This window comes from Homo sapiens, chromosome 19 (genome assembly GCF_000001405.40).
Source record: "Homo sapiens chromosome 19, GRCh38.p14 Primary Assembly".
Taxonomy (NCBI): domain Eukaryota; kingdom Metazoa; phylum Chordata; class Mammalia; order Primates; family Hominidae; genus Homo; species Homo sapiens.
The window spans coordinates 28,744,763-28,761,384 of record NC_000019.10 but is presented as its reverse complement, the minus strand read 5'-3'; the positions used below and the strand labels follow the sequence as shown (position 1 = coordinate 28,761,384).

Here is a 16,622-nt window from a genome sequence, read left to right as displayed (position 1 = left end):
CATGAGCATGGAATGTTCTTCCATTTGTTTGTGTCCTCTTTTATTTCGTTGAGCAGTGCTTTGTAGTTCTCCTTGAAGAGGTCCTTCACATCCCTTGTAAGTTGGATTCCTAGGTATTTTATTCTCTTTGAAGCAATTGCGAATGAGAGTTCACTCATGCTATGGCTCTCTGTTTGTCTGTTATTGGAGTATAGGAATGCTTGTGATTTTTGCACATTGATTTTGTATTCTGAGACTTTGCTGAAGTTGCTTATCAGCTTAAGGATATTTTGGGCTGAGATGATGGGGTTTTCTAAATATACAGTCATGTCATCTGCAAACAGGGACAATTTGACTTCCTGTTTTCCTAATCAAATACCCTTTGTTTCTTTCTCTTGCCTGATTGCCCTGGCCAGAACTTCCAACACTGTGTTGAACAGGAGTGGTGAGAGAGGGCATCCCTGTCTTGTGCCAGTTTTCAAAGGGAATGCTTCCAGTTTTTGCCCATTCAGTATGATATTGGCTATCATTTTGTCATAAATAGCTCTTATTATTTTGAGCTACGTCCCATCAATACCTAGTTTATTGAGAGTTTTTAGCATGAAGGGCTGCTGAATTTTTTGAATGCCTTTTCTGTGTCTATTGAGATAATCATGTGCTTTTTGTCTTTGGTTCTGTTTATATGATGGATTACATTTATTGATTTGCATACGTTGAACCAGCCTTGCATCCCAGGGGTGAAGCCCACTTGATCGTGGTGGATAAGTTTTTGATGTGCTGCTGGATTCGGTTTGCCAGTATTATATTGGGAATTTTTGCGTGGATGTTCATCAAGGATATTGGTCTAAAATTCTCTTTTTGTGTGTGTGTCTCTGCCAGGCTTTGGTATCAGGAGATGTTGGCCTCATAAAATGAATTAGGGAGGATTCCCTCTTTTCCTATTGATTCAGATAGTTTCAGAGGGAATGGTACCAGCTCCTCTTTGTACCTCTGGTAGAATTTGGGTGTGAATCTATCTTGTCCTGGACTTTTTTTGGTTGGTAGGATATTAATTGTTGCCTCAATTTCAGAATCTGTTATTGGTCTATTCAGGGATTCAATTTCTCCCTGGTTTAGTCTTGGGAGGGTGTATGTGTCCAGGAATTCATCTATTTCTTCTAGATTTTCTGTTTTATTTGTGTAGAGGTGTTTATAGTATTCCCTGATCGTAGTTTGTATTTCTGTGGGATCGGTGGTGATGTCCCCTTTATCATTTTTTTTATTGCATCTGTTTGATTCTTCTCTCCTTTCTTCTTTATTACTCTTGCTAGTGGTCTATCAATTTTGTTGATCTTTTCTAAAAATCAGCTCCTGGATTCATTGATTTTTTGAAGGGTTTTTTTTGTGTCTCTATCTCCTTCAGTTCTGCTCTGATCTTAGTTATTTCTTGCCTTCTCTTAGCTTTTGAATGTGTTTGCTCTTGCTTCTCTAGTTCTTTTAATTGTGATGTTAGGGTGTCAATTTTAGATCTTTCCTGCTTTCTCTTGTGGGCATTTAGTGCTATAAATTTCCTTCTACACACTGCTTTAAATGTGTCCCAGAGATTCTGATATGTTGTGTCTTTGTTCTCTTTGGTTTCAAAGAACATCTTTGTTTCTGCCTTCATTTCATTATGTACCCAGTAGTCATTCAGGAGCAGGTTGTTCAGTTTCCATGTAGTTGAGTGGTTTTGAGTGAGTTTCTTAATCATGAGTTTTAGTTTGATTGCACTGTGGTCTGAGAGAAAGTTTGTTATAATTTCTGCTCTTTTACGTTTGCTGAGGAGAGCTTTACTTCCAAGTATGTGGTCAATTTTGGAGTAAGTGCGGTGTGGTGCTAAGAAGAATGTATATTCTGTTGATTTGGGGTGGAGAGTTCTGTAGATGTCTATTAGGTCCACTTGATGCAGAGCTGAGTTCAATTCCTGGATATCCTTGTTAACTTTCTGTCTCATTGATTTGTCTAATGTTGACAGTGGGGTGTTAAAGTCTCCCATGATTATTGTGTGGGAGTCTAAGTCTCTTTGTAGGTCTCTAAGGACTTGCTTTATGAATCTGGGTGCTCTTGTATTGGGTGCATACATATTTAAGATAGTTAGCTCTTCTTGTTGAATTGATCCCTTTACCTTTATGTAATGGCCTTTTTTTGTCTCTTTTGATCTTTGTTGGTTTAAAGTCTGTTTTATCAGAGACTAGGATTGCAACCCCTGCTTCTTTTTTGTTTTCCATTTGCTTGGTAGATCTTCCTCCATCCTTTTATTTTGAGCCTATGTGCATCTCTGCACATGAAATGGGTCTCCTGAATATAGCACACTGATAGGTCTTGACTCTTTATCCAATTTGCCAATCTGTGTCTTTTAATTGGAGCATTTAGCCCATTTACATTTAAGTTTAGTATTGTTATGTGTGAATTTGATCCTGTCATTATGATGTTAGCTGGTTATTTTGCTCATTAGTTGATGCAGTTTCTTCCTAGCACTGATGGTCTTTACAATTCAGCATGTTTTTGCAGTGGCTGGTGCTGGTTGTTCCTTTGCATGTTTAGTGCTTCCTTCAGGAGCTCTTGTAAGGCAGGCCTAGTGGTGACAACATCTGTCCGCATTTGTTTGTCTGTAAAGGATTCTATTTCTCCTTCACTTATGAAGCTTAGTTTGGCTGGATATGAAATTCTGGGTTGAAAATTCTTTTCTTTAAGAATGTTGAATATTGGCCCCCACTGCCTTCTGGCTTGTAGAGTTTCTTCCAAGAGATCCACTGTTAGTCTGATGGGCTTCCCTTTGTGGGTAACCCGACCTTTCTCTCTGGCTGCCCTTAACATTTTTTCCTTCATTTCAACTTTGGTGAATCTGACCATTATGTGTCTTGGAGTTGCTCTTCTCGAGGAGTATCTTTATGGCGTTCTCTGTATTTCCTGAATTTCAATGTTGGCCTGACTTGCTAGGTTGGGGAAATTCTCCTGGATAATATCCTGAAGAGGGTTTTCCAACTTGGTTCCATTCTCCCCGTCACTTTCAGGTACACCAATCAGACGTAGATTTGGTCTTTTCACATAGTCCCATATTTCTTGGAGGCTTTGTTCATTTCTTTTTAATCTTTTTTCTCTAAACTTCTCTTCTCGCTTCATTTCATTCATTTGATCTTCAATCTCTGATACCCTTTCTTCCACTTTATCAAATCTGCTATTGAAGCTTGTGCATGCATCACGTAGTTCTTGTGCTATGGTTTTAAGCTCCATCAGGTCATTTAAGGACTTCTCTACACTATTTATTCTAGTTAGCCATTTGTCTAATCTTTTTTCAAGGTTTTTAGCTTCTTTGTGATGGGTTCAAACATCCTCCTTTAACTCAGAGAAGTTTGTTATTACTGATCATTTGAAGCTTTCTTTTCTCAACTCATCAAAGTCATTCTCCATCCAGCTTTGTTCCACTGATGGTGAGGAGCTGCGTTCCTTTGGAGGAGAAGAGGCACTCTGATTTTTAGAATTTTCAGCTTTTCTGCTCTGGTTTCTCCCCATCTTTGTGGTTTTTGTCTACCTTTGGTCTTTGATGATGGTAACATACGGATGGGGTTTTGGTGTGGGTGTCCTTTCTGTTTGTTAATTTTCCTTCTAACAGTCAGGACCCTCAGCTGCAGGTCTGTTGGAGTTTGCTGGAGGTCCACTCCAGACCCTGTTTGCCTGGATATCACCAGCGGAGGCTGCAGAACAGCAAATATTGCAGAACGGAAGGTGTTGCTGCCTGATCCTTCCTCTGGAAGCTTCATCTCAGAGGGGCACCCGGCTGTATGAGGTGTCAGTTGGCCCCTACTGGGAGGTGTCTCCCAGTGAGGCTACTCGGGGGTCAGGGACCCACTTGAGGAGGCAATCTGTCCATTCTCAGATCTCAAGCTCCGTGCTGGGAGAACCACTACTCTCTTCAAAGCTGTCAGACAGGGACGTTTAAGTCTGCAGAAGTTTCTGCTGCCTTTTGTTCAGCTATACCGTGCCCCCAGAGGTGGAGTCCACAGAGGCAGGCAGGCCTCCTTGAGTTGCAGTGGGCTCCACCCAGTTCAAGCTTCCTGGCCACTTTGTTTACCTACTCAAACCTCAGCAATGGCAGACACCCCTCCCCAAGCCTAGCTGCCACCTTGCAGTTCAATCTGAGACTGCTGTTCTAGCAGTGAGTGAGGCTCTGTGGGTGTGGGACCCTCTGAGCCAGGCACAGGATATAATCTCCTGGTGTGCTGTTTGCTAAGGCTGTTGGAAAAGTGCAGTATTAGGGTGGGAGTGTCCCAATTTTCCAGGTACTGTCTGTCATGGCTTCCCTTTGCTAGGAAAGGGAATTCCTCAACCGCTTGTGCTTCCTGGGAGAGGCGATGCCCCACCCTGCTCCATGGGCTGCACCCACTGTCTGACAAGCCCGAGTGAGATGAACCTGGTACCTCAGTTGGAAATGCAGAAATCACCCATCTTCTGTGTCGCTCACGCTGGGTGCTGCAGACTGGAGCAGTTCCTATTCGGCCATCTTAGTGGGGTATTCTCCTGAGTGTCTTTTTTTTACTTTTCTGCCTCGATGATCTGTCAGTGGGGTGTTGAAGTTGTTTGGTATTGTTATGTGGTATCTAAGTCTCTTTGTAGGTTTCTAAGAACTTGCTTTATGTATCTAGGTGCTGTGATGTTGAGTGCATACATATTTAAGATAGTTAAGTCTTCTTGAATTGAACCCTTTATCATTGTGTAATGCCTTTCTTTGTTCTTTCTCATTAATGTTGATTAAAGTCTGTTTTGTCTGAAATAAGAATAGCAAATTCTGCTTTTTTTGTTTAGTTGGTAAATTTTTATATATTCCTATAATTTGAGCCTTTGAGTGTCATAGCAGGTAAGATGGGTATTTTCAATAGAGCACGCAGTTGTCTTGCTTCTTTATCCAACTTGCCATTCCGTGACTTTTAAGTGGTGCATTTATTCCCATTTTTTCCATTCACATTCAAAATTTATTGATATGTGTACATTTAATCCTGTCACCATATTGTTAGCTGGTTTTTATGTAGACTTAATTTTGTAGTTGCTTTATAGTGTCCTTGGTCTATGTACGTAAATGTGCTTTCTGGTGGCTAGTAACAGTCATTCATTTCCATGTTTAGCATTTCCTCAGGATCTCTTTTAAGGAAGGTCTGGTGATCATTGCCTTAGCATTTACTTATCTGAAAAGAATTAGAGATTTTTTTTTCTTATGAAGCTTAGTTTGGCTGGATATGAAATTCTTGGTTGGAATTTTTTATTACGGATACAGAATATAGGCCCTCAATCTCTTCTGGTTTATAGGATTTCTGCTGAAAAGTCTGCTGTTAAGCTGATGGGATTCCCTTTGTTTGTGGCCTGCCCTTTCTCTCCACTTGCCTTTAGTATTTTTTATTTTGTATTCACCCTGAAGAATATGCTGACTCTGTGTCTTGAGGAGGGCCTTCTTGTCTATCTTGAAGGGGTTCTCTAAATTTTCTGACCATGAATGGTGACTTTGCTAGCAAAGCTGAGAAATTTTTCATCAACAATATTCTCAAATATGTTTTCCAAGTTGCTTGCTTTCTCTCCATTTCAGGGACACTAATGCATGATAGATTTAGTCTCTTTACATAAATGTATTATTTCTCAGAGATTTTGTTTATTTCAAAGTTCTTTTTTTAAATTTGTGTTTGACTGAGTCAGTTCGAAGAACCAGTCTTGAAGCTCTGAAATTCTTTCCTCAGCTTGGTCTATTCTGCTGTTAATGTTTTATAAAATTCTTGTAGTGAGTTTTTCAGCTCCATTAGATCAGTTTGGTTTTGCATTAAAGTGGTTTTATCTTGTATTTCAGCTCTTGTATCATTTTGTTGATTTCCTTAGATTCCTTGGACTGGGTTTCAACTTTCTCCTGAATCTCAGTGATCTTCATTGCTATATAGATTCTGCATTATATGTCTGACATTTCAGTAATTTCTGTCTGGCTAAATTAATGAGGAGCTAGTTTGGGGATTTGAAGGTAGGAAGACACGTCTGCTCTTTCAGTTGCCAGAGTTCTAGCACTGATTCTCTTATCTATGTGGAGTGATGTTTCTTTAATTTTTGAATTTGCTATTCTTTTGATGGAGCTTTTTGCTCTTATATTCTTGATATCCTTGAGGACTTTACTGTGGTGACATTTGGGTTCAGTTGGCTGGCTATTTAACTGGATAATTTCAGGGGGCTGAGGCTCAGCTCAGTGCTCCTGGGCTGTATACTCCAACACTGGGGCCTGGGACCAGGCCCATGGCTTTGTTCTCTGGCTCTTCAATGTTAAACATCCACTTCACTGGAGGTAGCAAGGCGTTCTGGGTCTGCTGGCAAAAACACTTTGATGGGGGTGCTGCTAAAAGGGCTTCATCAGGGTAATGGCAGCAGGGCGTGCACTTGTACATTCCAGCAGCAACAGGGCAATGGTATGGCAGCATTTGTGTGCATGCCTGTGTGTACACAAGTGGCAGCAGCATGGCAGGGTCCACACGTGTTCACACACTGGTGGCAGTGGGACAGTGGTGCAGCAGGGTCCACATGTGCACCAGCAGTGGCAGGGTGGTGGCTCAGCAGGATCTGTGCATACATTTACACTGATGGCACCAGGATGGTGAGGCCCACACACTAACATGCACCAGCAAAGCAGTTGGCAGATTTGGGGCAGTTACATGCCATCAAAATGGTGGGAGGATGCTGCAGGCAAGTGTGTGCCAGTGAAGCAGTCAGGGCAGGCTGTGGACAGTTGTGTGCTGTTGGGGTCCCTTGAACAGAAGCTCTCTGATAGTTAGGTGTGGTCTTCCAGTGAAGGACCTATGGTGGTGGCCACTGGGAAACACCTTGTTTGAGCATCTGAGGCTGCACTGTTAGTGGGTGGGGCCAGGCAGGGACTCTAGGAGAGACTGGCAGACGGGGGTGTTCAGATCAGAATGGCTCCATCCCATGGGCAAGGTAGCTCTGTTCTACTTGGGTCCAACAGCCAAGAAACGCCAAAGCTACCTAAACGAGTGGGGTGAGCCTTGGGGGATGGGCATCCCTGGCCATGCTACACTGCAGTTGTTCCCATGCCAAACCCTTTGGGCTACACAAAGGCTGGAGTCCCCTCTCTGCCAGCTCTTCAAACAGCTCTCCCTGCCATCTGAGATGTCCAGGGGATCATGGGGTCTTCTGCAGCTAGGATTCTGGAGGTCCATGGTGAGAGTGAACCACTCCATGCCTATTTAACTCACCCTTTCCCCAAGAGCTGCATAAGGCGAGGAACAAGTCCTGGTGCTTGGCAACCCTTTGCAGGGTTTCCACATTTCTCTCTCTTCAGCCTAGTGTCTGTGTCCTTCCTCCACACACTCTCAATGTGTTCTTTCTGACAATCTGCTTGGAGTACTGGTCTTCTTGATTGTCTGGTCTCCCAGGGAGAAGTTCCTCTTCACCGTGTCAGGTCATCCCTCTTGGCTTTTCTCCTCTCCAATATCTTTTTAAAAAAAATTTGAACATGTTATTTGAACATTTTTTTTTCCATTTGGGCCCTCGTGGACCTATGGATACATCCAGCTTTTAAAAAATGTAATAATGCGGCTGGGCATGTTGGCTCATGCCTGTAATCCTAGCACTTTGGGAGGCCGAGGCAGGTGGATTGCCTGACTTCAGGAGTTTGAGACCAGCCTGGGCAACAGGGTGAAACCCCCATCTCTACTAAAAAAAAAAAAAATACAAAAAATTAGCCAGGCATGGCATTGTGAGCCTGTGGTCCCAGCTACTCGGGAGGCTGAGGTGGAAGAATCACTTGGGCCCAGGAGGCAGAGGTTGCAGTGAGCTGAGATAGTGCCACTGCACTCTAGCCTGGGCAACAGAGCGAGACTCCATCTCCAAAAAAAAAAAAGTAATAATGCTTTTTTAAGGGTACATGATTAACTCCTTTTTTCCAGTGGATAGACGAGCTGGAAAGAAAAGGAGTTTGTAAACAAACATTGAGAATAAGTTATTAGTACTTGTGTCTTTTTGTAATAGATGCCAAGATTCAAAAAAAGTTACCAAAAAAACAGTAAATGTAAGCTTACTTTCTTCAAGATTTACCATTAACTGTTTTCTTTCAACAAATGGAAGCACTTGACAAATGAGATTTTTTTACTCAGTTAAGTTTAGAACATATATATATATATATAAAATACTTTAAGTCTTTGGGTACATGTACACAACATGAAGTTTTGTTACATAGGTATACATGTGCCATGTTGGTTTGCTGCACCCATCAACTCATCATTTACATTAGTTATTTCTCCTAATGCTATCCCTCCCCCAGCCCCCCACCCACCGACATGCCCTGGTGTGTGATGTTCCCACCCTATGTCCATGTGTTCTCATTGTAGAACATATTAACATTATTCTTCCTACTGACACCTCATAGGCCTATAGAGATATGCAGTAATAAGAGGCAAGTGGAAACATACTTTCCATAAAAAGCGTTATAACCTGTTTCTTTCCATGAATGATAGTTTAACAAAAAAGGAACTTATAACCAAATGTTGAGAAGGTCATGTTTCTTTCTCTAATAGGTGCCAAGTCCAAAAAACAAAAAAACTCCACCCATAGAAAGTAAAGGTACCCTTACTTTCTGCAAGATTGATTATTTACTGTTTTATTTCAATGAACTGGAATGTTTGGTGACTGTGATGCTTTTCTCAGTGAAGTTTAGAACATGTTATTGAACATTTTTCTCTTTCCACTGAGATTTCATAGACATACAGAAATATCCAGCAACAAAAGGCAAATGTAGTCATGCTTCCCATAAGAAACATTGTAAACTGTTTTCATTCAGTGAATAAAAGAGTTCGACACTAAAAGGCATTTGTAAGTAAACATTTAGAAGAAATTATTAGAACATGGTTTTTCTCCAATGAGCACCAAGAGGCTGATAGAGAAATCCACCTATAAAAAGTAAATGTAAGCTTGTTTTCTGCAAGATTAATCATTAACTGTTTTCTTTCAGTGAATAGAAGAATTTGATAAGTGAGATGCATTTCTAACCAAAAGTTTAGAACACGTTATTTGAACATTTTGCTATGCCCATTGTAACCACGTAGGCCTAAAGACATTTTTAGCAATAAAAGAGAAGTGTAATTATGGTTTTCTTAGAATGCATAATAAACTCTTTTTTTATTTGAAGTGTTTCAAAAAGAAAGGTGTTTGTAAGCAAATATTGAGAAGTTATTAGAACATATTTCTGTCTCCAATAGGCACCAATAGGCCAATAGAAAAATACACGTATAAAAAGTAAATGTAAGCTTTTTTTTTATGATTCATCATTCACTGTTTCTTTCAGTAAGTCTAAGATTTTTATGAACAAGATAATTTTCTAAGTGAAAACTGAGAACATGTTATTGAAACATTTTTCTTTCTTCTTTGGGCCCTCATTGGCCAGTAGAGCTATCCAGAAAAAAAACAGCAAATTTAATTATGATTTCCTTAAGATGCATCACAGTATTCTTTCATTCTGTAAATGGAGAGTTTGAAAAAAAATCATCTTTAAGCAAACACAAAGAAGAAATTATTATAACATGTTTCTTTTTCTAGTAGACAGCAAGAGACCAATAGAAAATCCACCTATAAAGAGTAAAAGTAAGCTTGCTTTCTTTAAGATTCATAATTAACTGTTTTCTTTCAGTGAATGAAAGAGCTTGAAGAAGAAGATCCTTTTCTAAGTAAAGGTTTGTGTTATATAATTTGAACATTTTTATTCCCTATCGGGCTCTTATGGGCTTATAGAGATGTCACGCAATCAGAGGCAAATGTAAGCATGCTTTCCATAAGATGCATCAAGAACTTCTTTTTAAAATAACGAATAGAGGAGTTTAACACAAAAATAATTTGTACTTAGACACTGAGAAGACATTATTAGGACATGTTTCTTTCTCCAATAGACACCAACAGCCAGAAAAGATATTCATAAATTTAAACAGTAAATGTAGGTTAACTTTTTTCCAGATCTGTCACTAACTGCTTTATTTCAGTGAATAAAATAGTTGAATGAATGAGATAATTTTTTTAACTAAAAATTTCGTATATGGTATTTTATATGGTTTGGCTGTGTTTCCACCCAAATCTCAGCTTGAATTATATCTCTCAGAATTCCCATGTGTTGTGGGAGGGACCCAGGGGAGGAAATTGAATCATGGGGGCCGGGCTTTCCCATGCTATTCTTGTGATAGTGAATAAGTCTCAGGAGATCTAATAGGTTCATTGGAAGTTTCTGCGTTTGCTTCTTCCTCATTTTCTCTTGCTGCTGCCACATGAGAAATGCCTTTCACCTCCCGCCATGATTATGAGGCCTCCCCAGCCATGTGGAACTGCAAGTCCAGTTAAACTTCTCTTTCTCCCAGTCTCAGGTATGTCTTTATCAGCAGTGTGAACACAGACTAATAAAGTAAATTGATACCCAGAGTGGGTATTGCTGAAAAGATACCTGAAAATGTGGAAGCGACTTTTGAACTAGGTAACAGGCAGATATTGGAACAGTTTGGAGGTCACAGAAGAAGACAGGAAAATATGGGAAAGTTTGGAACTTCCTAGAGACTTGTTCAATGGCTTTGACAAACATGCTGATAGTGATATGAACAATAAGGTCCAGGCTGAGGTGGTCTCAGATGGAGATGCATAACTTGTTGGGAACTGGAGTAAAGGTGACCCTTGTTACGTTTTAGCAAAGAGACTGGCAGCATTTTTCTCCTGCCCTAGAGATTTGAGGAATTTTGAACTTGAGAGAGATGATTTAGGGTATCTGGCAGAAGAAATTTCTAAGCAGCAAAGCATTCAAGAGGTGACTTGGGTGCTATTAAAGGCATTCAGTTTCAAAAGGGAAACAGAGCATAAAAGTTTGGAAAATTTGCAGCCTGACAATGCAATAGAAAAGAAAAACCCATTTGCTGAGGAGAAATTCAAGTCAGCTGCAGAAATTTGCATAAGTAATGTTAATACCCAAGGCAATGGAGAAAATGTCTCCAGGGCATGTCAGAGGTCTTCACAGCAGTCTCTCCCATAACAGGCTCAGAGGCCTAGGAGGAAAAGATGGTTTCCTGGACCAGGCCCAGGGTCCCTATGCTGTGTGCATTCTAGGTACTTGGTGCCCTGTGTCCCAGCCACTCCAGCTATGACTGAAAGAGGCCAACATAGAGCTCAGGCCATGGCTTCAGTGGGTGCAAGCCTCAAGCCTTGCAGCTTCCATGTGGTGTTGAGCCTGTGGGTGCACAGAAGTCAGGAATTCAGGTTTGGGAACCTCCACCTAGGTTTCAGAGGATGTATGGAAATACCTAGATGTCCAGTCAGAAGTTTGCTACAGGGCTGGGGCCCTCATGGAGAACCTCTGCTAGGGCAGTATGGAAGGGAAATGTGGGGTGGGAGACTCCACACAGAGTCCCCACTGGGGTGCTGCCTAGTGGAGCTATGAGAAGAGAGCCACCATCCTAAGACCCCAGAATGGTAGATCCACCGACAGCTTGCACCGTGCACCTGGAAAAGCCACAGACACTCAACACCAGCCCATAAAAGCAGCTGGGAGGGAGGCAGTTCCCTGCCAGACCACAGGGGCGGAGCTGCGCAAGCCCATGTAAACCCACCTTTTGCATCAGCGTGAACTGGATGTGAAACATGGAGTCAAAGGAGATCATTTTGAAACTTTAAGATTTGACTGCCTTGCTGGATTTCGGACTTGCATGGGCCTGCATCCCCTTGCCAATTTCTCTCATTTGGAATGGCTGTATTTACCCAATGCTTATACCCCTGTTGTATCTAGGAATTAGCTAACTTGCTTTTGATTTTACAGGCTCATAGGCATAAGGGACTTGCCTTTTCTCCGATGAGACTTTGGACTGTGGACTTTTGAGTTAACACTGACATGAGTTAAGACTTTGGGGTACTGTTAGGAAGGCATGATTGGTTTTGAAATTTGAGGACATGAGATTTGGAGGGGTCCAGGGGTGGAATGATACGGTGTGGCTCTGTCCCCACCCAAATCTCAACTTGAATTGTATCTCCCAGAATTCCCACATGTGTGGGAGGGACCCAGGGGGAGGTAATTGAATCATGGGGGCCGGTCTTTCCCATGCTATTCTCATGATAGTGAATAAGTCTCATGAGATCTGATGGGTTTATCAGGGGTTTCCACTTTTGCTTCTTTCTCATTTTTTCTTGCCACCACCATATAAGAAATGCCTTTCACCTCCTGCCATGATTTTGAGGACTCCCCAGCCATGTGGAACTGTAAGTCCAATTAAACCTTTCTTTTTTCCCAGTCTCAGGTAGTCTTTATCAGCAGCGTGAAAATGGACTAATACAGTATTCTAATATATTTCTGGGTTTTTGGAGCCCTCATCAGCCAACACAGATGCCCAGCAATAAAAGGAAAATGTAATTATACTTCTTTGAGGATGCATCATAAGTTATTTTTTTTTTCAGTGCATAGAAGAGTTTGACACAGGAAGGCATGTTTAGGCAAATTTGGAAAATAGGTTATTAGAACATGTGTCCTTGTCCATTTATGCCAGGAGGCCAATAGAGAAATCTGTGCATACAAAGTAAATGTAAGCTTGCATTCTTCATGATTCTTTGTTAACTTTTCTTTCAGTTAATAGAAAATTTGGATGAATAAGATGTTTTTCAAAGTGAAAGTTTAGAACATGTTATATGAATATATTTTTTTCTCATTCAGTGCTTATAGACTTAGAGAGATATTTAGATATAAAATAAATTTGTAATCATCCTCCCCCTAGGACTCATCATGTACTGTTTCCTGTCAGTGAATAGAATTTGTCACAAAATGGCATTTGTAAGCAAATATTGAGGAATATGTATTAGAACATATTCATTTTGCTAATAGCCATCTAGAGTAGTGGGCTCCAAACTTTTTGGCACCAGGGACCAGTTTCTTGGAAGAAAATTTTTCCACATATGGTGGAGAGATAATTTCGAAATAATTCAAACTCATTACATTTATTGTGCACTTTATTTCTATTATCATTACATACCCACCATAATGTAGAATCAGTGGGAGGCCTGAGATTGTTTTCCTGCAACTAGATGGTCTCGTCTGGGGGTGATGGGAGACAGTGACAGACCATTAGGTATTAGAATCCCATAAGGAGTGTGCAACCTAGAACCCTCGCAGGGGCAGTTCACAATAAGAGTTGGAGTTCAGCTTTGCTCACTGACCCTCCACTCACCTCCTGCTTTGCAGCCCAGTTCCTAACAGGCCACAGAGCAGTAGTGGTCCATGGCCCAGGGATTGGGGACCCCTGGCCTAGAGGACGATAGAGCAATCCACCTATAAATAGTCAATGTCAGGCTTGCTTTTATCAAAATTTACTATCAACTGTTTTCTTTCAGTGCATGAACGAGTTGTACAAGAAAACTATTTTCTAATCAATTATATATATATGATATATGATATGATATATGATATATATGATATAGGATATATGTGATATGATATATGATATATATATGATATGATATAACATATATATATGATATGGATATACATATCATATATATGTTATATCATATCATATATATGATATGTATGTATATATACATACGTGTGTGTGTGTGTGTGTGTGTATATATATATGTAATTTGAACTTCTTTTTACTTCTTCTGGCCTTCATCTACCAATAAAGACATCCAGCAATAAAAAGCAAATGTAAGAAAGAGTTTTTCTTAGGATATATCATTAACTTTTATTAAAGTGAATGAAAAATTTTTATATAGAAAAACATTTGTAAGAAATTATACTTTGATCAAAAGAATTATAAACTATTTTTTAGTGATTGGAAGGGTTTAACACAGAAAGGAATTTGTTAGCAAACATTGAGAAGTTTTAGAACATGTTTTTTTCTCTGATATATACTAAGACTTATAGAGAAATCCACTCATAACAAGTAAATGTAAGCTTGCTTTTTAAAACATTTACCATTAAGTATTTTTTTCTCGGGGTATGAAAAGAGTTCAGGGAATGAGAAGTTTTTCTAAGTGAAAGTTTACAAATATTAGGAGAATATTTTTCATTTTGTATTGGTCACTCCATAGGCCTATAGTGATATGCGGCAATAAAAGGCAAATGGAATTATGCTTTCTTTCAAATGCATCTTACACTGTTTTCTTTCTCTAACATAAGAATTTGATCCAGAAGGGACTTTGTAAGCAAACATTGGGAAAAAGTTATTAGGATATGTTTACTCCATTAGGCAAAAGTAGTGGACTAACTAGTGATTAATGATAGCAGTCAGGACCTCTTCTCCTGGCCTATTTAGAAAAATGATAGGACTCTTTCTCAGGGGTAAGAGTGGTGCCCACTGAGCAGTAAAATTCATTTACTAAGCAAATATTTAAGAAAAATCTACTATGTTTCAGACATTGAGCTAGGCACTGGAGACAGCAAAACCACAAAGCACCACGTTCACTTTAGTTGGGAAAACAGAAAATAAATAAATAGGTAAATAAATGTGAAAAATGTCAGGTGGCAAGAACTGCTGTGAAAAAAATAACAGAAAATGGGACTAGAGGATAGGCAGAAGCATCGTTTTGATGAGGTGGTGAGGAAAACCTCCATAAAGAAGAAACATGAGCAGATGAAGCATGAGCCACACTAGCACTGTGGCCAAGAGTGTGTCCATGTGTTCACACTTCAAGGAGCACAAAGCAGCTGGTTTGGCTGGTGAGCTGTGAGTCATGGGAGAATGGCTGGCCATGAGCTGGGCTCAGGGCATATTCAGATCCTGCAGAGCCCTGGAGGCCACAGTGACGCCTGTGACCAGCACTCCAAAACATGAGATGGGACTCTGGGAGCAACTGTTCTTACTTGCATTTTAAAAGGATCATGATGGCTGCTGTGGTGGTAAGACTGGAAGTAGCAAGATGGAGGAAATTGTATCACTTTATGTCAGACGCCATGTTGCCTTGGACAGGCAGCAGGGCAAGTGGTAATAAGTGGATGGAAGCAGTTTCTGGGGGATTGGATAGCGTATGAGGGAAGTCTTCAGGGATAATGACAAGATTGCTGTTCTGAACAACTGGATAAGGGTAATTGCTGGAATGGGGAAGGCAGGGGGTGGGGCAGGGTTAGGGAGCAGAAACTAAGAATCTGATTTTGGATATGTTTAATATGTCTGGTGGACCTTCAAGCTGAACTGTGATGTAAGCAGCTGCAGAGTGGCTGGGGCAGATATCAGGACAGGAGATAACTTGGGAGGTACCAGGCATAGGGCAACGCACCACCACATGCTGGTAAGTCATCTGGGGATTTGTTAAAATGCAAATTCTGATTTTGTAGGACGAGGGCAGGGTCTGGAAAGCTGCACTTCCAGCCAGCTCCCAGATGCTGCTACTGGTCCACAGAGCATGCTTTCAAAAGTGAAAAATGTAGATGGAGTTTAAAGCCACGAGACTGGGTGGGATAAACTAAGGAATGAATATGGGTTGAGAAGAGTAGAAACCCTTAGTGCTTAAGGGACAATTCCTCCCGGATCTGCTTCTGAGCTCAAGACTAGTATGGAATGATACCTTCTCCTAGGGTACCATCACCCCAGCTGGTCAGGAATATCCTCCAAAAATAATGAAATATGAGGCTCACTCAGAAATAAGGACTGGGAGACTTCCTGAGGAAGGTGTTGTCACATTATAAAGACCTTTCCTTAGAATGGGAGGAGGAATGTCTGTGTGACAGCAGTGATGGAGTAGGGGTGACAGAACAGGTCTATTTACATCATGAACCAGCCAGTCCAGCTGTATTGTATGTGAAAATGGTTACTGGGATACCTGGGATTCTTAAAAGACATTCCAAGATGTCAGGAGGTTTCTGGGCAGTTTGGTGAGAATTGAAGCAAAAAATTATATTCCTCCCAATTTCTGAGAAGGTGTCTAATTTTTGGAAGTGGGTCTTCAATGAGGCCAAGAACACTCAGAGATTAATGTAAATATAGACCCTCTTTTCATATGTATCAGAAAAAATGAGGCGAGTCTTTATCATTTTAGAGATGTATTTTGTCAAGGCTGACGATGTACCTGGGAAAAACAGACATAAGCTACAACAGGATCTGGGGCCTGTGCTTTTTCTGAGGAAGGTTTTGATGGCTTCAATATTTAAAGGGTAAATGTGGCAGAAGGGAAAAAGGGAAAGAAAGAAAAGAGAAGGATATGGTCACATTCTTGTGAGGCTTCTGTTAGGTTAACTGAATCCACCTGTTGCACGTGAAAAGGCGGACGTAGAGGGAAAAGTCAATTATGCATTCATCTCGTGTTCGGTAAATGTGCACTTTACATAAGATAAAGTAAACATTGAGTAGAGGAAGCAGTCAAGTATGCATTTGTCTTGGGGTGGGTGGTGGGACGGTTTCCAGTCTCCTCTTGTTTTGTGTCCATGAAGATAAGCTGTTAATTTACATTGTCAGGATGAGGGAGGCCCTTTGTGGAGACATGTGGCATTCTATCTGTAGCAATCGGTTTAGGAACAAAAGGAAAGGCAGTTTTTTGTTTTGTTTTGTTTTTAATAACTCAGCTTCTAGGCTCTAACTTTTCCCTTTTGGCATAATTAATTTGGGGTTCCAACATTCTAGTTTTTCTTTATCACTTTCCCCCTA

The 16,622-nt window shown here is 40.6% G+C and overlaps 1 annotated feature.

The window, feature by feature from the left end:
• Nucleotides 16,156-16,356: a silencer, noted in NCBI's record as "peak3425 fragment used in MPRA reporter construct". NCBI's record gives its function as "represses an SCP1 promoter by STARR-seq MPRAs in K562 erythroleukemia cells {active_cell/tissue: K562}" and the evidence as "EXISTENCE:reporter gene assay evidence [ECO:0000049][PMID:32103011]".